The sequence below is a fragment of the Homo sapiens genome, chromosome 11, assembly GCF_000001405.40.
Source record: "Homo sapiens chromosome 11, GRCh38.p14 Primary Assembly".
Lineage (NCBI taxonomy): Eukaryota > Metazoa > Chordata > Mammalia > Primates > Hominidae > Homo > Homo sapiens.
Window position 1 is genome coordinate 26328060 of NC_000011.10, and position 21914 is coordinate 26349973.

The 21914-nt window shown below is 38.2% G+C and overlaps 1 protein-coding gene and 1 long non-coding RNA gene across 4 annotated transcripts in view; one reads left to right on the top strand and one right to left on the bottom strand.

Moving 5' to 3' along the window:
• Nucleotides 1-21914, top strand: part of ANO3 (anoctamin 3) — a 474482-nt gene that overhangs the window by 139252 nt on the left and 313316 nt on the right. For 2 of the 3 annotated variants that reach the window (NM_031418.4, XM_047427399.1), the window contains exon 1: nt 4071-4262. The exons of the other annotated variant lie outside the window; for it this stretch is intronic. In NM_031418.4, the coding sequence (NP_113606.2) occupies nt 4217-4262 (46 nt within the window). In that variant the 5' untranslated portion in view covers nt 4071-4216. Of the gene's footprint in view, nt 1-4070; nt 4263-21914 lie in introns of those variants that run through there. 3 annotated transcript variants of the gene reach the window in all.
• On the bottom strand, nt 194-3915 carry LOC105376598 (uncharacterized). Its single transcript, XR_931138.3, has 3 exons — nt 3803-3915; nt 3461-3576; nt 194-666 (listed from the first exon to the last, which is right to left on the bottom strand). It is a non-coding gene; the product is annotated as an uncharacterized LOC105376598 (long non-coding RNA).

Consider the following 21914-nt stretch of genomic DNA (forward strand, 5'->3'; position numbering starts at 1 on the left):
TTAAAATTCTGTTTTGTAAGACTTCTTAAGGCTGGACTCAGAGAAGGTTGAGGCTGCTGATTTTCCTCCATGACTTTATCTTAGACACACCCATCAGTAGTACTACTTCTGAATGCTACTCGGAGCATATAGCCTGGATATCATCAGGATGAATCTACTTAATTCTGCTGTTATACTGTCACATGTGGCCAGAAACCATAGGCTTTTAGGGAGAAAATTGTTAAATTTCACTCCATTTTTCCTTTTATGATAGTATATGACTTTTTTACAGAGCTGGTTTTTGTCTTTAATATACGGAGAGAAACTAGAAGCAGGAAAGTACTGCTTTTCCATTTCTGTTACCATTTAGGCAATGAGAAGTATCATTCACAATTCCAATTTTAATTAAGGCAGTGATTCATGACCCAAAGAGGCAGAAACAGGACTCTCTCAGTCCCTTTGACAGAGCACAATACAGAGAAACTCACAACTGGCTGAGCTGAGGGACCTATTTCGAAATTCAAAGGAATAAAAAGTCTCCCAGTGATGTAAACATCAGAGTTTCTTACCTCTCTGGGGAGCAAATGTTAGCAGGGGGGCTGCAAAGTTAATTACTTAAGGAGGACAGGAGACAGGTTGTGAGTTGTGGGGAGCAAGAGCAGCAGAAACATGAAGGGGAACGAAACCCTAGGTCCAAAGAGAAAAAAGAGAAAAATTGAAGTTGTAGCAAGACAGGTATATGGGTAGGGGGGTTGAAGATCTATGCATGTAATAAGGATAAAATCAACACATATCATTGATAAAGTATGAAAATGATAAAAATATATGAAAGTATAAAAAATATTACCCTTTACTCAACTTGCAAGCATGATTACTCCAGACATTTTCGCATGTTTATTTCTAGGCTTTTTTTTTCTACTTTGGAAAACAGAGTCAAGACTGTACTGTGTATTATACATTAATCATGCCCCCTCACTAAACATTATATAAAATACACATTTTGCATGTCATTAAAATTTGGAGAAAAATGTTTGAAGCTAAAAATAGTAGGAAAAAGCAACCCAACATAGTTCATAGTTAGCTTAGCTTTCCTTAATGAGGCTACTTGCTATCCATTCTTAAACTGTCCACAATGGAAATGTCAGTCCATCAAAATGCTTCCTTTTACCCCAACACAGAATTTTTATTTTGAGTTAAAAAAGAGGGCTTTTGCTCAAACTCTTCTTTCTACACTTCCAAAACGTACTTTCTTTCTTTACACACACACACACACACACACACACACACACAGAGAGAGAGAGAGAGAGAGGAATCTTTTTCTCTTTGCACTGCCTTTCTATAAAGCAGATGGTGCTTCAAATTTCCTCGGCCCCTCACAAAGCTGTTCCTCTAGCAACCTCCCCTAAAAGACTGATTTTAAAACAAGCAAAGATGTTCTTTGAATCCCCTGCTAGTCAATCTGGCAGTCCAACCTAAAATGTTTCTAATTTTAAGAAAAGTAATTAACTTTATGACAAGATAGTTTAATCATAGCTGCACCAAGGAGGTTAGGGTGCAAGGGTGTTAGAAATAATAACAAACATTCTTTCCTTGGAAAAAAATCCAATGAGGTTCAAAATCTCAACTCATTTCTAGTTCTGGCAGATACATATTTGCCTCCTGCTGGGTTTTGGATCAGGGAGTAGGTTGGAGAAAATCAGGGATCAACAGAAAAAGATCTTAGGAAGGTAAAGGTGATACCTGTGCCTAGAAATGTGGAATAGAGGGACTTAAATTTTTTTTTTTTTTTTTTGAGACGGAGTCTCGCTCTGTTTCCCAGGCTGGAGTGCGGTGGTGCGATCTAGGCTCACCGCAAGCTCCGCCTCCCGGGTTCAAGCCATTCTCCTGCCTCAGCCTCCTGAGTAGCTGGGACTACAGGCGCCCGCCACCGCCCGGCGAGGGGACTTTAATTCTTTTAACTAGTCCTGCTGACCAGGGATTGAATTAAAGTTTAAATTTCAAAAATATTTCTGATTCTAAAACCGGTGATTTAAAAGGGGGTTTTAAACATTTAAATGAGATCTACAGGGGTCATAACTGACTAGTAAGTATTGGGTGTTAGTTTTCTGCCATTCTTAAATTCATTGTCTAATCCTCACGTAGGAGAATTGGGTTGCATTAGAATCAATGAGTTGGTTCACATCAGAATGATCTGTAAGCTGAGTTCTATCAGAATTTTAACTCTGGATGAACAAAATTTAAAAAAAACATCCTCGAGCAAGTCATTTATTCTTCTCGGTTTCAATGCCCTCATCTATACAATATCTGTATTAAAAGCCCTTACGGAGACAGTCTCTGAACTGTGTTTTAGATCTTCATTTGGAGGTGAACTCACACTGAGTTCATTGTCTGTAACCAAGTATTTCTTCAATGCCTGCATACTGAGCTCTTATTGAATGCTCAGCATTTCTTTCTGGAAAGACCATTATGATACATTAAAGAAGGTAGCACATTGTTTGCTCTTCCTCCCACTGAGAGTAGAATCCAATTTCGCTTTTTGCTTCAGATGACTTTAAGACCAGTTACTGAACAATCAAGAGAGACTCTGAGAGATAACTGCCTGTCTGAATCTAGCCCACCTGCAAAATCCATAAGTAATAATAATAAATTTTAGTTTACAGCTTAGTTTCAGGGTAGTTTGTTATGCATCCATAAATAATTGGAGCATCTGTTTGTTCAAAGCTATATTCCCCTCATTCTTTTGTATCATGCACCACAGATGAATCAAACAGCATACAATAATAACTCAATATTTTTGAGGTATCGAAAGTTTGGAAATTTCTGCATATTTTTTATCTGCTTTTATTTGGATTATTCACCTGATTCTGAGTTGATTCCATAAAACTTCAAAACTGAGGAAGCAACGGACTCTCACGATGTGTCTGTTCAATAACATCTTACATCTTCCAGGAAGAACTTAGGGCTTTGAATCAGGGAGCAGAGATAGATGGAGGAAAGGAGATCCTACTGAAAAATGTGTTCAGCTAGCTTCTGGTCCTATTTTGGCCACTGCAGTTTGGTCTTTCAAAAGTTACTTCAAAGTGGGAGCTGAATGATGAGAACACACGGACACAATGGGGGAACAACACACACTGGGGCCTGTTGGAGGGGGAGGGAGAGCATTAGGAACAATAGCTAATGGCTGCTGGGCTCAATACCCGGGTGATGGGGTGATCTGTGCAGCAAACCACCATGGCATACGTTTACCTATGTAACAAACCTGCGCATCCTGCACATGTACCACGAACTTAAAATACATGGTGAAGATATAAATAAATAATAAAATAAAACTTCTCAAACTAAACAAAAAGAGTTACTTCACTTCTTTGGGTATCGGGTGCCTTCTCTTTCAAATAAGGTGTTGATTTATGTGGTCTTGAGAAATCTTTGTTGCTCTGATCTTAAGTTTCTTTTTATAATATTAGAATCATAGTTTACCTACATTACAGGGCTTTTATGAAGATTAAATCGAGCATCGTGGGTAGTGTTTTTTCAGCCCCTGTGACTAAGTAGGTTATAAATGGTCCTCAGTCATCATCATCATAAATGATTCAAGGCCTGAATGGCAGAAGAAGAAGAGGAAAACTCAAGTGAAAAGTGCTAGACATAGAACACAGCTTACCTAATAAAACATGCTACTGGCTAACTAAGCTGGGGTGGCTTTCTGCCCCCTCTACTTAAATTTAAGAAAGAAAAACAGAAACGTCTCTGCATCTGCCACTGCATACCCTCTCAGAGCACAGACCAACTTTGCCCTTCCTTAAAAGTCCCAGGGTTTACCTACCAACTTTTAGGAAATAAATAACCAGCCTCAAAGCTTGGCAAAGAGGGCATCAGTATCAGCTCTAGAGGTTTGCTCCGATTTATATCTCCTCCTCCAGTAAAGTCTTCTGCTCCCACTCCCAGCCAACCCCGCTCAACGCCCACCCCTCACTGTGGCACTGGACGCGCGGGGGATGCGGGGTTGTTCCCAGAGTAGCCGCTAAGGGGAGCCGGACGCTAGACCGCCCTCCCGCGTTCCCATGACAACGACACCGGCGGGCGCGTAGCCTGGAGAGCGAAGTGCCGGCTACAGCAGGTGTCGGATTGCAGTGCGCTCGCTGAGGCTCCGGACCTTGGAGCGTCTAGAGTCTGGCTACTGTTCCTCCGCCTCCCTCTCGGGCAGCTCCCTAAGCCGGCTGGGACGCGCAGAGTGAAAATGGTCCACCATTCAGGCTCCATTCAGTCCTTTAAACAGCAAAAAGGTCAGTTGGAATCTTGCTCCCCTCTCCCTGCGGGCGTCACTTCCCCCCTGCATGCCCTTGCAGTTGTGTAGGAGCATCCTTTGCAGGCTTATGCGACACAGAGGTGGGGAACTCTGTGAAGTTAAAAAAAAAAAAAAAATTAAATTCCTCTTCACTCTGCATCCTAGATGAGTGATTTTCTGAGCCTCCGCACAGTGCCTGGGAGTATCGGAATTCGTCATTTCAGGACTTGACTTAATGTATATCTCTGTGAAGACTGTTTCAATGCACTGCAGTAAACCCGCTTAGTAGGGATTGTCCGAATAGCTCAGTAGAGCTCTGAGGGGTGAGGACAGAAATGTTCAACAATATCTGCCGTCTTCTGTGGTTCAAATGTTGAGTAATCTTCACAAAAGTGTGTCTACTCCTTGAGACGCATTTACACAATCATAAGATAAATGAATTCTTGGGGGAGTTCCAGAGTTGGCCTGTTGCAGTTAAAGGGGCTCTGTCACTTCCTTGGGAAAATTTATTGTTTGCCCATGTCCCATGCTTGATTCTGGGTTTCAAGTTCTTGAGGTTAGGTTTCTCTTCTAGGGGCTTCGTATTATGTCTTTTAGTTTCTCCCTCAAGTTTCTTGCTGGGCATAGTGACAAGAATCTGTATGTTCAAGTTATCCTCACTCTTTGATCTTTGTTTCTTATTTGGTTTAAAAGGCTTTTTACAGAGCATTTTTATTTTGAGGCACATTCACAGTTTTTGGAGTTTTATTATCCAGAAGCATTAATTAACACAATTGCCACTTTGCTGAATTAATAATGGTAATTATGATACAGTTAACCATAGAGTGCCTTAGATGTGTGAATTCTGGAATGCTGAATTTGTTCATTCAAAGTAAATATTTACTTAAATATTCTCATCCCCACCCTCCAGATATTATTTGTATTTCTTTCATCAACAGTTGTTTTTATGTAGCTCTTTGACTTTTTTTTTTTTTTTGAGGTGGAGTCTCGCTCTGTTGCCCAGGCTGGAGTGCAGTGGCGCGATCTCGGCTCACTGCAAGCTCTGCATCCCAGGTTCATGCCATTATCCTGCCTCAGCCTCCTGAGTAGCTGGGACTACAGGCGCCCGCCACCAAGCCCAGCTAATTTTTTTGTGTTTTTAGTAGAGACGGGGTTTCACCGTATTAGCCAGGATGGCCTCCATCTCCTGACCTCGTGATCCGCCCGCCTTAGCCTCCCAAAGTGCTGGGATTACAGGTGTGAGCCACTGTACCCGGCCCTTGACTTTTTTGTTTGTTTTTAACAAAAACTAGATTAACACACAAGAAACAATTTCGAAGGGATTCCTGCGTAAGACAGAATATGGGACTGACTGAGTTTCCAGTTCCATAATTCTGTACTCAGTTCAAGCCCAAGTTCTCTAGGATGTTTCAAATATATGTTGAAATTGGGAGTGATGTGTGAGACTGTAGGGGTAGACAAAAATTTCACCTAGTATGCACTTCTACTTCAACTCTAAACATTTCAAATAAAGTTAAACTGCTTCAAGAAGTTGTGTTCTCTTTAATCATGGTTTTAAACATACATAAACTTTCAGAATGAAGACAAAGATGATAGGAACTTTGCAACAGCCTCACAGAATAAATACCTCCACTGATGCATTGGCTATGGGTGACTCATTTCTGGGATCTGGAAGCTTCAAATGGCCCCCACAACAATGTATTATGTATGGATACATGTTGTGTTTTTAAGAAGGAAATAATTGACAACTGTAGGTCCGACCGTCATTGCTCAAAGAGAGTGATAAGAAATTGTGCAATTGCTGGCATTTCACATTGTTTCCTTTATGATGCATTATGAGCCATTTAATTTCAAGTCTTCCTTTACTCTTTGGCACAAAAGGCAACTTCAGCAAAAGGATACAAATCTAGAGGAGGAGTACTCCGGTAGGAAGGAAGCAAGATTCATTTTAGCTAAGTGGTTCTGGTTAATGGCTTCTTAATCCTGCATGGGCATTAGGAAAAAAACAGACCAAATTGAGGATTAGCTATTTTTATTCTTCAAATAGGAAGAAGCAAAATAATTCTCTAGATGTGATCTGTCCTAGGAGGTATGCAACAACAACAACAAAACATTCAGATGTGCTTTTCACCATAAAATTAACCTGAAAATTGCACATTAAAATGGAGAAAATTCTGTAGTGGAACTCTGTACTCCTAGGTTCTAAGCTTGCGTTTGTTACTAGCTGAGAAATCTTCAACAAAGTGGTTAATTTCTTTGGACTTTGCTTCATACATAACATGAACAGAATACATTCCTAATCCCTTTGGCCTTTTCTGTCTCTCTTCCTCTGTTTAATGGGAGGGACGGTTTGCATATGAAGGCAGAGATGATTTCTTCTGTGACCAGATAAAGAGGAGAGCCTTGCTTTTAGTTTACTTTTACGAATTAATTTAGCTGAAAAATCCAGTTGATGGAATTTACTTTTGTTTTATTCAAGTGAGCTCAATGTCTCTTTTAAAAATTTTGATTTCAACTTGAAAATATCTAGAAATAGCCTGATATAACTAGAAATCACCCTTGTTATATTATTTTTAAAGTTTCCACCCTTAATTGAAAAACAGACACACTCAATATTTAAACTCTACACAAGGCATAGGGATTCTCCTTTATATATGAGAACTATGTATTAACCAATCCCCGATCAAAATTGGTTTTGATAGGTAAGTATAAGTATAGTATAGATAAGTATAGATGCCAGACTGGTTATCTGGGAAATGAAATACTGTATGTAAGCCCTAATTTATTAATTTAATCTCTGGTCTTTATTTTGAGCCCTGGATATTAATCCAATATATTCTACTTACAGGTTATGTCATTTAATATCACTAAGCCACAGTAACTGCTTATGTGAAATGAAGATAATTATGTCTATCTTGCAGAGTTATAAGGTGTTTAGCAGTTTGTCTGACACACAGTTGGGGCTCAAAAAATTTAGTGATTTTCCTTACTAAAATTCATCTAGGCTCATTCACCTTTGGTTGGCTCTTTAGTAGTATATTGGACTCTTAGCAGTTCCCTTATAATTTCTTGCCTTTTTTTTTCTTTTGCATCACGCAGCTTTATTACTTTGGGATTCATCTTAAGGAAAACAGTGGACTCCAGACCATCTATGGATGGTTTTTTAAAATAGTCTGGAGTTAACTATCACAAACTCTCCTCAATTCATATGTCCATCCCTCAGGAAAACTTCCAAAAAATTCCCATAGAAATTTTTAGGTTTGTAATTAACTTTATAATCTAAAATGTTTTTGCAAGAAATGGTATTTATTTACTGTCCACTCTTAAGTACCATGCTTTTGCTGCGTGTATGCCAGGGACTGTGCTTAATAATAGCATTATTCAGTCCTCTTTTGTTGCTGAATCTGTTGCTGCAAAACCCTCCTCCTTAAAGGACTTGCTACTATAGGAAGTTTGAGAGATTTGCTAAACACCTTTACGAGAATTGCAGACAACTCTGCACTTCTGTAGGAAAATGTTGACGTTTTGTTTTTTGGCAGTGCCAGTTGTGTTTATGAAGAAGATATACACAAATAGTTTTGAATTTTACTCCACTGTAAATTTTAGATTATCTTATTAGGAGGCTTAATAGGAAGTAAAAAGTGAGACATCTGTGCAGTGGTGGGGAGGGGGAGGCAGTCTGCTTATTTTTGATGTCCCAAGGGTAAATTGGAGTGTATTATGGTTATAGACAACTGGGAGCATATGTTTGCTTTTGTCTTAGCACATCTTGTAAAAACACATTAGCTGACACATCAGCAGTGATTTCTGGGGAAAGTCCAACTTTCTTCCTAGCCTGGCTTTCCATGTTTTGCTTGATTTATGATGAGCTCATGTGTCATACAAGGGTGGGCAAGAGAAAGACAATGATAGTTTTGGCTTCTGGTGGCTGCTCTTTACCAATACAGCTACCAAGACTTTTCATAGAACCATAGATCAAATCAAACACAGCCTGTCCCAAAAGACTTTGGCTTAATGGGATCAGCTAAGGCTGTTAAGTGATTCATCATTATCCTAAAGGACATTTGGTTAAAACAGAGAGTGTTTTTAGTAATTCCATAGAAATAAGCATTTACTACTCACATAACTCATTTAATAATAAGAATGTTTTACACTTATATGGAGACTTACAGTCTAAAGTATTTTCTTTCTCTTTTTCTTTAAATAAATTTGTTGCTATTGCAAGTGCACACCCGTAAAGCCACTTGGCACAACTATCCTGCTTTGTGTCAAGTTCTGAATTCAAATTACCTAGAAGGACAATCCTGGGAAAAATATCTAGTTTCAGAATCTCTGATATCCACTGTTTTCATCTCCTTTTCCCCTAACTGACATCCTTACAATCTAGAACCTCCCTATACCCTTATCTTAGAGAAATAAGAAAAAAAAACTGGAGCCATTTATACAGTGACAAAATTTCATTAACTCATTGTGCTAACTCTTCCTGGTATTTTCACAGTCTATTCTTTTATTTATGACTAAAGCTCAGAAGGCATTGTCTCTCATTAAAATAATTCTAAGTTGTATAGGAAAAATCACTGGGGGAGATATTTTAAGGTAAGGAGTTATACTTTTCTTAGGCTGGTACTGAATATCAACCTGAATATTAGAAAGAATTGGGAGTCTAATCTAATTTAGAGCCCATCTGGTCTTCTACTCTGTCCTTTAATTTTCACCCTTCTCTTTCTTTCCTTACACAGAAGGTTTCCTAGATATTTGGAACTCTAGTTCTCCATTAACAATCCCCCAGTAAGAGTGAGCCAAACTATAAAAAGAATATAGAGATATTTCAACCCGAAAAAAAACACAAGTGTCTGGGACTGTAACTTAAAAAATCTTGCATATATACCTCAGATGGCTCAGAGGAATTACTGTGTTAATTCAAAGTAAGAACATTGCTGTTTAAAATGATGGCTTTGAATTAGCAAGAATAGTAGTATATGTTATGTGATAAATATATATCCTCTACTTAGTAAGGGAGAGAAGTGATGGAGTTTAAAATGAATTCTATCTGAAGTAACTATAATTTTAAAATGTGAGTGTTTCAAAGCTATCTAGAATTTTAATTATCTAAAATAGCACATTCCTTGATGATTCTAGAGAGCTGAAGTTTTCATTTGAATCTGGGATTTACATTATATTCTGCACATGGATGTTTCTGAAAGTAATATATTTGGAGTTGATGATTATATAAACCAATTTATCAAAAGATAATTTAAACTCAAACCCTTAAAAAATCCAAGAAAAATTCAACCTTCTCTTCATTATTTTAATGTCTTATAAGTCTGCAGATGTTTATTAAATGTTAGCGTAAAAATTATGGCTCACTTTGGGAGGCGGAGGTGGTGGATCACTTGAGGACAGTAGTTTGAGACCAGCCTGGCCAACATGGTAAAACCCTGTCTCTACTAAAAATACAAAAATTATCTGGGTGTGGTGACGGGCACCTGTAATCCCAGCTACTCAGGAGGCTGAGGCAGGAGAATCACTTGAACCAGGGAGGCAGATGTTGCAGTGAGCCGAGATTGCACCACTGCACTTCAGCCTGAGTGATAGAGCAAAACTCAGTCTCAAAAGAAAAAAAAAATTATGGCTTAATGTAATGTAGTCGTACCTTGTTGAAAAGAGCACTGACTCAGAGTTCCCTGAGATTGACCCCTGTCACCACCTCTGTGCCTTTGAACATTTACCTTTTCTGAGCAAAGTTTCAGGACAGTAACATCTACCTCTCAGGATTGTTGTGAATGATAATTAAAAAAAAAAAAAACAGCAAAAACAACAGTAGAAGCTAATATTGTGTGGACACTATTACCCATTGAGAGGTGAAGCCAGCTGGACTTCCTGGGTTGAGTGGGAACTTGGAGAACTTTTCTGTCTAGCTAGAGGATTGTAAATGCACCAGTCAGCACTCTGTAAAAATGCACCAATTAGCACTCTGTGTCTAGCTAAAGGTTTGTAAACGCACCAATCGGCATTCTGTAAAAATGCACTAATCAGTGCTCTGTGTCTAGCTAAAGGATTATAAACGCAGCAATCAGCACTCTGTAAAAATGCACCTATCAGTGCTCTGTAAAATGGACCAATCAGCACTCTGTAAAATGGACCAATCAGCAGAATGTGGGAGGGGCCAAATAAGGGAACAAAAGCTGGCCACCCCAGCCAGCAGCAGCAACCCACTGGGGTCCCCTTCCATGGTGTGGAAGCTTTGTTCTTTCGCTTTTTATAATAAATCTTGCTGCTGCTCAGTCTTTGGGTCCGCACTACCTTTATGAACTGTAGCACTCACCGCGAGGGTCTCCAGCTTCATTCCTGAAGTCAACGAGACCATGAACCCCCCCACTGGGAGAAACAACTCCAGACGTGCCACCTTTAAGAGCTGTAACACTTGCTGTGAGGGTCTGGGGCTTCACTCCTGAAGTCAGTGAGACCACGAACCCACCGGAAGGAAGAAACTCTGGACACATCTGAACATCTGAAGGAACAAACTCCCGACACACCATCTTTAAGAGCTGTAACACTCACCGCGAGGGTCCGCGGCTTCATTCTTGAAGTCAGCGAGACCAAGAACCCACTGGAAGGAATAAATTCCGGACACACCATTGTTCCCAAAGTTCAAAGATGCACTAACTGCATTATTTTATACTCCCTAAGGCTTTAATAATTATATTATTGTTCTTATTTTCAAGGTAAGGGATTTGAGGTTAAGATAACTTACATGCATTGCAAGTTAACGCTTAATGAGTGAAAGATCTAGGGTTTGAACGCAGCCCTCCCTGACTCCAAAGTCCACTTTTTTTTTTTTTCTTTTTTTGATGGAGTCTGGCTCTTGTTGCCCAGGCTGGAGTGCAGTGGCACGATCTCGGCTCACTGAAACCTCTGCCTCCCGAGTTCAAGCTATTCTCCTGCCTCAGCCTCCTGAGTAGCTGGGATTACAGGCCCCCGCCACCATGCCCGCATAATTTTTGTATTTTTAGTAGAGATGGGATTTCACCATGTTGGCCAGGCTGGTCTCAAACTCCTGACCCAGGCGATCCGCCTGCCTGGGCTTCCCAAAGTGCTGGGAATTACAGGCGTGAACCACCGCGCCTGGCCCAAAGTCCACATTTGTAAACATTGTGCATGCCACAAAGAAGCCTAATTGTTGCAGGTTCTTTGGAGAATGAAACACTTAAACAGCTGAAAAGCATTTCACTCCTGTCTAATTTTCACCACAGCTGTCTATAGCTAGTTTCCTTGCTCTACACCTTTTCCACAAAAATAATATCAGAGTTCAGGGCAGATTTTTATTATTTCTGAACTTGATCATGGGTAGTTCCCTGTCCCTTCTGTGACTTCATTCACCGTATATCTGAAATGAAAACATCTGGCAGAATGACCTCCATGTTTCCTCCTGACTCTGCAGTTCATCAAAAGTTACAGAAGCGTGAAATAATATTCTTAACCTGTAGCGTATTAGTACAACCATCCTGGCTGTCCGTTTGGTTATTCTTTCCTCTTAAACTGCACTGCAAGTAGCAATTACTTTAAATTCCGACTGGTTTCAGTGCAACAGCTATGTAGGAAGCCTGCAGCAGCTGCAGGATACAGGTTCACCAAAGCATGAATCTCCCATATTCACCTCCTCACTATAACCAAGATGCGGTTGGCCTGCTGAGGAGAGAGGTTCCTTGAGGGTAAAACTGGATTGCCTGAAAGTTACGTTACTGGAAGTATTTTGCAAATGCATTGTATTGGTTGTGGTACATTTCTTATCATCGTACTCTTAGACAGTTACTAGGCTGACCAAAGGCATTTCCTAAAAATAACTCCTAAAGTTGTGTATTTTGTTGGTGCACAAGTAAAATGTCAAATGCTATTACTTTCAGTGGCAAAATCCTCCATAACTTTTGCACCAACCTAATATATTTTATATTTGGCTTTGGAACACTAACTAACAGCAATTTGGGAGGGTGGTGGTGGCTACTTTCTAAATGTATGCACAAGAGCTGGCTTTAAACACACACTCCATCACTACCTGATATCTGGAGCAATTTATTTCATTTACTGCAGCTCATTTTCTTACATCTATATGATCTAGGTCTCCCAGTTTGTGAGATCTGAAGAATCACCTAACATTCTTGTTAAAATGCAAATTCTTCAGTCCCTCTAGACCTACCGAATCTAAACTCCAGAGGAGGAGACTAGAAATCTGTATTTTTTACAAAGATGCACCCTAGGAGAGTCTGACAATTGAGTCAATTTCAAAAACAATTTGCTAATACAATATTATAACTATGTGCACATTAGAGAATGAATTTAAATGAGTGAACTATAGTAAATTGCCAATTGATGCTACAGTTATTAGTAAAGGCAAGCTATATAGATTCTAGATATACTTAGTTGTATACATGCATTTCATACAATGGAAATGTAACTTTAGTGTTTTCCTAACGCTATCTTCCTTTTTAAGGTTTTGTTAAGGTTCCTAAATGGCATTGGCTGTCTTGTCTTGTTTATTCTATGCTCTTTAACTTCTCAACTGATTCATGTCAAACTGGACACTTTAATTAATGAGTTATTAGACTTGTAGGGGAGAATTTTTAGACTTTGTTTTCAGTTGTTCAATCGTGTCCCTTGTGAATACCCCAAATGCTGTCAATTCTTTATCTTTGTTCTAGGCCCTGAACAAAGTTAGTTTCCTTCTCTTCTCTTTTCTTTTCTTTTCTCTCCCTTACCTCCCCTCCCCTCCCCGCTTCTCTTCCCCTTTCCTTCCTCTCTCTTTCTTTCTTTTCTTTCTTCTTTCTTTTTGCTATGTAACATTTTGCAAAACAGCGGGCTTTGCTGTATAGCCTCACATAAAGATCTCAGAATGACTTGAAAAAAATGTATAGTGAAAGGTTTATAATTCTCCTTGATTTATATATAGCGAAAATGTGTATTAGGTTTGTGTTTCCTTATAAATTCACTGTAATAATGTAAAGTCATTGTAGGAAAGGCAATGTGTGAAATAAAAGATATTATGTCATAAAAATTGTGTTTGAATCTTAAGATTGTTACACAGTAAGTAATCATGGGCAAGGTAATTAATTTCAGTTTCTTTAGTTATGAAAACAGAAATAAGTGCTGTTATTTAATTCTTACTCTTTGCCAGACATTTTTTAAAGTATTTTGCTTATAAACCATTTAATAAAAAGGAGAAATTTCTATTACTTCATTTCGCAGATGTATTAGGATTCTTCAGAGGGGCAGAACTAATAGGATAGATGTGTATATGAAAAGGGGTTTATTAAGGAGAATTGACTCACAGGATCACAAGGTAAAGTCCCATGATAGGCCGTCTGCAAGTTGCAGAGCAAGGAAGCCAGTGGTGGATCAGTCCGAGTCCCAAAACCTCAAAAGTATGGAAGCCAACAGTGCAGCCTTCAGCTAAAGGCCCGGGAATCCCTGGCAAACCACTGGTGTAAGTCCAAGAGTCCAAAGCTGAAGAACCTGGAGTCTGATGTTCCAGGACAGGAAGCATCCAGCAAGGGAGAAAGATGAGGCTGGATGCTCTTCCATCTTCTCCTACCTGCTTTATTCTAGCTTGGCTGGCAGCTGATTAGATGGTGCCCACTCAGATTAAGGGTGGGTCTGACTCTCCCAGTCCACTGACTCAAATGTTATTCTCCTTTGGCAACACCCTCAGAGACACACCCAGGAACAATACTTTGCATCCTTTAACCCAGTCAAGTTGACACATAATATTAACCATCAAAACAGATGAGGAAATTGAAGGGCAGAGAAGTTAAATCAGAGTTCAGGGTGACACAACCGGGAGTGGTGGAGCTAAGGTACCTATCTTGTTGGCAGAAATATGAGGATTAGCAACTCTGTATGAATATTACCTCCTATAGGGACTGCTATATAGTAGGCTAAATGCATGTGCTATGGTCTCATGTTTGTGTCGCCTCCAAAATTCGTGTTGAAACTTAACAAAAATGTAATGATATTAAGAGATGTGACCTTTAGGAGGTGATTAACCCATGAGGGTAGATTCATATAGGATGAGTGCCTTCTGAAGGGGCTAAAGAGAACTAGTTTGACCGCTTTTTGTTTTGCTCATCTGCCCTTTTCCTATGCAAGGCCATACCATTTGTCCCTTCCAAAGGATGTAGAATTCAAGATGCCATCTTGGAAGCAGACCAGACCTTATTAGACACTGAGCCTACTGGCACCTTGATCTTACTTCTCAGCCTTCAGAATCTTGAGAAATAAATTTCTATAACTTATACACTACCCAATTTGTGGTATTTTGCTATAGCTGCACAAATAGACTAAGACAACTTTGTAACTAATATATTTATAAAATGCCAGTAGTTCCCGTACTCACTCCAAATAAATTAGATTAAAGATGATCCATTCCATGGAAAAAGGCTTTTGCTGTTTATCTGAATAATATCCACTAACTGGTTGGTTTCACCATTTCACACTTTTATCACTTTATTTTTTTTATTTTTTTGTTTTCTAGTTTTATTGAGGTATAATTGGCAAATAAGGATTGTATATATATTTAGGGTGTTTTATATGTTTTGACATACACATACTTTGTAAAATTATTACCACAATCAAGCAATTAAAATATCTGTCACCTCACATAATTTGCAATGAGAATATTTAATATCCACCCTCTTAGCAAATTTCAAGTATATAGTACAGTAATATTAACTACAGTCACCATGTTGATATTAGATTTTCATAACTTACTCATCTTACATAACTGAAACTGTACCCTTTGACCAATAGCTCCACATGCCCCCCAATCCTACCCTTTGATAACTTCCATTGTACTCTCTGCTTCTATAAGTTCAACTTTCTTAGATTCCACATAAAATGAGATCATGCAATATTTGTCTTCCTGTACCTGGCTAATCTCATGTATATATTTATACATCACATTTCTTTATGCATTCATCTTTCAGTGAACATACATGTTGATTCCATATCTTGGCTATTCTAAATAATGCTGCAGTGAACATGGGAATGCTGATATCAAGATTCAGATTTCATTTTCTCTTTTGAATGTACGTGCAGAAATGGGAATGCTGGATCACATGGAAGTTCTATTTTTATTTTGGGGGGTCCTCCATAATGCTTTTATAATGGCTGTGCCAATTTACATTTCCACCAAGAGTATGTAAGGATTCCCCTTTCTTCACATCCTTGCCACTCACGACTCCGTGGTACACTTGCAGCTGGTCGTGCATTTACATTCTACTTGCCTGAAGTTACTTTTAGTACAGACTGAACATATCAACATAAGATGGTGTCAAACTTATAATAGGAGATAGATTGTAGTTGATAACTGGAGTGTAGAGTTCAAGTAGCTTAGATTCAAATGTTGTTTCTGTATAATTTCTGTATACGAGTGTATGACCTTTGCCATCATTTTCTTCTCCAAGTTTCACTTCTTCTCCTATATAAATTGGGACTGATAAGGTTGTTTGAGAATGGTTTGTAGTAGTACATACTAAAACAATAAGATGTTTACAAATCTACCTCCCTCCCACTTTTTCTGATACTTTTTCTGATCTTAAATCATCTTAACACATTCTAACATGATTCCTACAAAAGCTCAATTAAGTAAAATTCAAATTTAACACACTTTCCTTATTGTTCAGTTCTTAGGCCGATTTTTAAAAAATCATAACGTACCTTTAAGTTTCAGAATAATAGGATTTAAATTCAGAAATCAAAATTATCTCTGAATTTGCATTTATTTCTTATATAGCAGTAGTAATTTCTGATTATGACCTGTTATGCTGATAAATAATAGAGAGCAATATTATTCATGGAGTGAAAGTATGGAAAATGGCATCTAAAAAGAATTGTATTAAAATAGAGTTGAAATTACATCTTTACTTTCACCATTTTTTATGCATCTTATAATACGAAACAAAAAGAAAATTTATGATGTCAATCCCTAAGAATAGACAAGAAATTGTGAGTGAAACAGTACATTCAAATTTCCTTACTGAGAAAAATATTGTCTTTTTTTTTTTTTTTGAGATGGAGTCTCACTCTGTCGCCCAGGCTGGAGTGCAGTGGCACGATCTCGGCTCACTGCAACCTCTGCCTCCCGGGTTCACGTCATTCTCCTGCCTCAGCCTCCCGAGTAGCTGGGACTACAGGCGCCTGCCACCATGCCGGCTGATTTTTTTGTGTTTTTAGTAGAGACGGGGTTTCATCATGTTAGCCAGGATGGTCTTGATCTCCTGACCTTGTGATCCGCCCGCCTCGGTCTCCCAAAGTGCTGGGATTACAGACGTGAGCCACCCCGCCCCACCAAAATATTGTCTTTTTAAAGACTGTCTTTGGTGTAATTTCTCCTTTGGGCCACTAATATTTTGAATGGTGCTTCTCTATTTCTCCCACAGTACTCCAAGATAACTGAGTTGGTGGTAAGCACCACAGTGAACAGCTTGCAATTAGTCATAGCTCTTACCAGATGTGAAGAAAGCACCCACTCAGACGTACTTATGCCTATTTAGACAGCATTACTCTAGAGTTTAAATCATGGATAGAAGTTACTTTTGTATATATATTCCATATTAATTCATGTTTTATAAAACTTACTTTTACATGCTCTAAAGAAACACTATAATGATAAAACTAAACAATGAATACATAGACAAGGATATTCTGTTAAATATAATGTTTAAGATATCATTCTTAAAATTTTCCTCATGTAATCTGAGACTGGTATGGAAATTACCATATTGTCTATAAAATGAAATGATGTTATGTAAAAAAGTAAAGTGGGGTAGGGCAATCTCTCTCTTCTTCAGACCTAGTATTGACCAATTAGAAGAAAAATTGGAATTGTGACAATCAAAGCATTAAGGCTTTGAAATTATCAGATATCCCTTCCTTCAACCAAGATAAAAAAAATCCTTGCTGGACACGGTGGCTTATGCCTGTAATCCCAGCACTTTGAGAGGCTGAAGCGGGCAGATCACCTGAGGTCAGGAGTTCAAGACCAGCCTGGCCAACATGGTGAAACACCATCTCTACTAAAAATAAAAAATTTTAGGGTATCGTGGCATGTGCCTGTAGTCCCAGCTACCTGGGAGGCTGAGGCAGGAGAATGGCTTGAATCCAGAGGCAGCAGTTGCAGTGAGCTGAGATCATGCCATTGAACTCCAGCCTGGGCAACAGAGTGAGACTCCATCTCAAACGAACAAACAAACAAACAAAAAATATCCTTGATGTGAATTGTACTTAGCAGGAAATAAAAGCTTAATATATCTGAAGTTTACTTCTACCAAGAATATTTTGTAAGATCTAAATATATTCTTCAATTTCTCAGTATATGAAAATATGTTACTGAATGTTTATTAAACACTTGAAAGAATTGCTTGTCTTAAAGCCATGGGAGAATTTGTAATTTAACTTACTGTGTGCCAATCATCACTGTGTGCTCGATGTGCATTAACTTATGTAATTGTTTCAAAAATATGCCAAAATAGGTACTATTAGCTCTGTTTTGCCGAAGGAAACAAAGTCACAGAGTGATAAATACTCAGTAATATAAATATATAGAAAAGCTGGAATTTGAATGAGCAATATGGCTGTATAACTTGTTTTCATAAACACTATAAAAGTTTTACCAAGGTGGAGGAAAGGAACTGATAACAGTTTGGGGCCTACTGTGCATCTGTCAATGTGCTGGCTATTGTGCACATGTTATGTTACATAGATCTTATATTTACACTTTGAGGCAAATCCCTATTTTATAAATAAGGAAACATACCCTGAGATGTTAAGTAAGTTGCACATGGCCACATAGCTAATACATGGAAAACATGGGATAAAATCCCATGGACCTGCTAGTACACTGTGAGATATATTATGTTTAAGCTTGTTTCTGCCTTAAGTCACCCTGAAAAAAAGTGGTTTAAGAAAAACAGTTAAATGAGGAATAATTTTAGCAAAGTGTGGAGATTATAGGGCCTTATGAAATTTAGTAATTTACAGGGCACAATAGGGCTATTGACAAGAGATTCTGAGAATTTCTGTTTCAGGCTATATCTCACTTTTTATAGGATGTTCACAATCTCTACTTGTTTTACCATCTCAAAAAGACTCTCATTGCATGCTATTCTAAACCACCTTCCTTCAGAATACCTAATCTTTAGTGACATGTAATATACCTTTTAAATCTGGACTTAATATTTATGTTATTTCACCTGGATGTGCCTAGACTTGTATGTTATGTTCATTGGGATTGGAAATGACAAGGAACCAGAGATCATGAAGTGACTTACCCAAAGCCCAGTGCTTTTGGGTTTCTGCAAATACTTATCGAATGCCTACCAAGTGCCAGGTACTGCACTAAATGGAAAATATAACATTTAACAAGATTTGACATCTGCTGAGGAAGATCCGCTTACATTTTCGTCAATACTCATGGTGCTCCAACATACAGCTCTCTGTTTGCCAATCATTTTTATTGAAGAAATAACTGGCTGTCATCATTTTAGACACCGGCTTTAGTCAAAAAAAGTGCTCTAGTGGTCAAGGAGACACTTACAAATTTGAAAGCAAGCAAAACAGTTTTATACACAGCCATTGCCATTCTTATCTTTGGAATAAACTCCTGGGAGCTGATCCAGCACTGAAATCCAAAATGTGCTGCCCATATTTATGTTTTGGAAGTATTTTAATAAAATTTCAGAGTATCTAATTCTTGTTAGGAGGTAATGTAAGATGGTAGTTGCATACAAAGCTTCAAATTCTCGCTCCATCACTTAATAGCTGTGTCATTTTGACTGCTTCAAACATTATCTAAAACTGGACTCTTACATGTGTAAAATAACACGTGCTTCATATGGTTGCCATGGGGATTAAATATGGTGATATATTTGAATCAATCGGCACAATTCCTAGGACCAGTGAAGTGCCTGCCACAGAGCTGGCAGCTAATAACTATTTAACAATGTTGAAGTTAACGTTTCTTGATTATCAAAACTATTAATCCAATTATGACAAACAACAGATATTTATTGGATATCTAGCAAGTAGTACTGATGCTGTAAAGCAGGGAAGGTGACTATCTGTGTTCCAGCTGATCATGCCCCCTTTTCTCTGAGACAAGACCAGACTTCAAAATACTTCACATGGTAATCTCAGGAAGGAGTTCATGTGAAAATGAAATCGTTCTGTCAAATTAATTATAGAATCAGGAATATATCTCTGCTTGTTCCCATGGTGAAAATTAGTCAACATCACTTCTTTCCTTTACACTCTACTATGGGCACATGGCCCGTCCTTATTAATTCTTTAAGGACAGGGTGGTAAATTTTTCTGATTTTTATTAGCACTTGAGAGAGAGAGAAGGCATAGACAAAAGAAAATGAAAGAGCAATTACAGGAAGGCAAAAAAGTTTGGAATAGCATCTTATGATGTAGTTACAAAACTAATCAGTAATCCAGGTATTGCTTACTTTATATTTTAAAACTCTAGGTATTATTTGCTTTACTTGAAAACCTTGTACAACATCATGTGTTTTACAGAGAGCAAGAAAAGGGTCCTGGCCCAAGAGGCCCTGGTTATGATTGATCAGTAATCCTCCTTGGCTTGCCCATTGGGTACTCTTTGCAAAGGTGAAGAAAAAAGGTATAAATGTTTTCCCAGCTCGAAAATATCCACCTCAAAAAATTTCACTCATTTTGTCTTTAATATCATGTCTTCCCTATTTCTTCTAACATATGGCTTATTTTTCAATAATACTTTCCCTCTTTTCTTTCCTCCTCTTACTTTATTCCTGATCCTGATTTTGAAAGAAGCATACATCTGAAATTATCACCACTTAAATATATTATGCCTTAAATTCTTTACGAAGTTAGATATGTTTTGAACAAATAATTAAGCATAACTTATAACCACAACAGTACTGATACTTTTTGTCAAATAGAAAGTAATCTTCTCATGTGTATTTAAAGTTCATGTTATATACATTAAACCTCTAATACCATGAAAGGCATATGACCTTCCTTCAAGAATCTCTGAGACATTAATGCCATGCTTATGGAGTTCTGGCCTGGGTATCGATAATGGGCTTCTTTTACCAAATATTGATGGAACTCTTACCATATTTTACATTCTAAAATTTAGAATCTATAAGCTAAGTTAAGCTTAATATTATAAAGATGGCCAATAAATTCCTGTCCTTAAGAGGATCACAGCAATGATTATAACAGACATTAAATAAACCTTTTAACCTAACTTTTACTTATCACATGTTTATGGTTAACCCCTCAGACTTCTTGAAGATCAGGTTTTGGATGAATCTTGAAACATAGCAAAAGCACTCATTTATTTTATTTACTCATTCAACAAATTTTACAAGGCACTGTGGAAGGTACAAGGGTTGTGGTAAAAAACATCAGAAATGTTATTTGCTCTCCCAAGACGTCACATTCTTATGGTGAAACTGTTGGGGAAACATACATTAACAGTGGAGTGTAATAAGGACACTGACGGGGTGTACACCAGGTAATACAGTCATGTGGGAAAGAAGAACCCTTGCCTAAGATGAGGAAATGGTTTTTTGGGAAAAGGTTGTGGTTGATGTTGTGAAATTGTTGAGTTTTTGCTTGTTTGGCTTCATTTCGAAACTTGTTACCAGGGAGGACTTATGATTGTTCACGTAAGCACAGAGGTTTATGAGACTCTTTGAAAGAAAATGTCATGGGCTTCTTATTACTACATGGATGATTTTTGTGTTAATGAAAAATATTATTTACTGATTGACTTACACACTAGTAATTGATCGCAACTCAGTTAAAATAATTTCTTTTAATTTGTAGCAGGCACCTTAATCCTTACATAGCTTACAGTTTGACCTTTAAGGCTGAGCTTTAAAATAACATTCAAATGTAAAATCTAAGTTTAGATATTACTTCTGAAACTTAACCATTGAAATTAAAGTAAAAACAGGTAATTTAAAGTTGTTCTAATAATGCCTTAAACTTGTGCAAATGTTTACAGTGCATAACATCAAAAATATATAAAAATCATTCACACATGTCTCAAGTATATAGAATTATTATTATCAATATCAGCATTTTCACATGTGCCCTAATAAATGATGCCACTATTTGGCAGAAACTGCTACATACTATTATAAGTCACTTGAGAAATGAGAATTGTTATTGTTTGTTTGTTTTTGTTTTTTTGTTTTTTTGAGACAGAGTCTTGCTCTGTTGCCCAGGCTGGAGTGCAGTGGCGCGATCTCAGCTCACTGCAAGCTCCGCCTCCCGGGTTCACGCCATTCTCCTGCCTCAGCCTCCGGAGTAGCTGGGACCTCAGGCGCCCGCCACCGAGCCCGGCTAATTTTTTGTATTTTTAGTAGAGACGGGGTTTCACTGTGTTAGCCAGGATGGTCTCGATCTCCTGACCTCGTGATCCGCCCGCCTCGGCCTCCCAAAGTGCTGGGATTACAGGCGTGAGCTACCACGCCCGGCCGAGAATTGTTTTAAAGGAGCTAATGAGCCAGAGAAGAAGGAATCTTCCATAGTGTTAGGAAGAGCCTTGACAGTAGCAGAAACTGAAGGCTGAGTACAGTGACCTCCTTGCATGGAGGAGCAGATG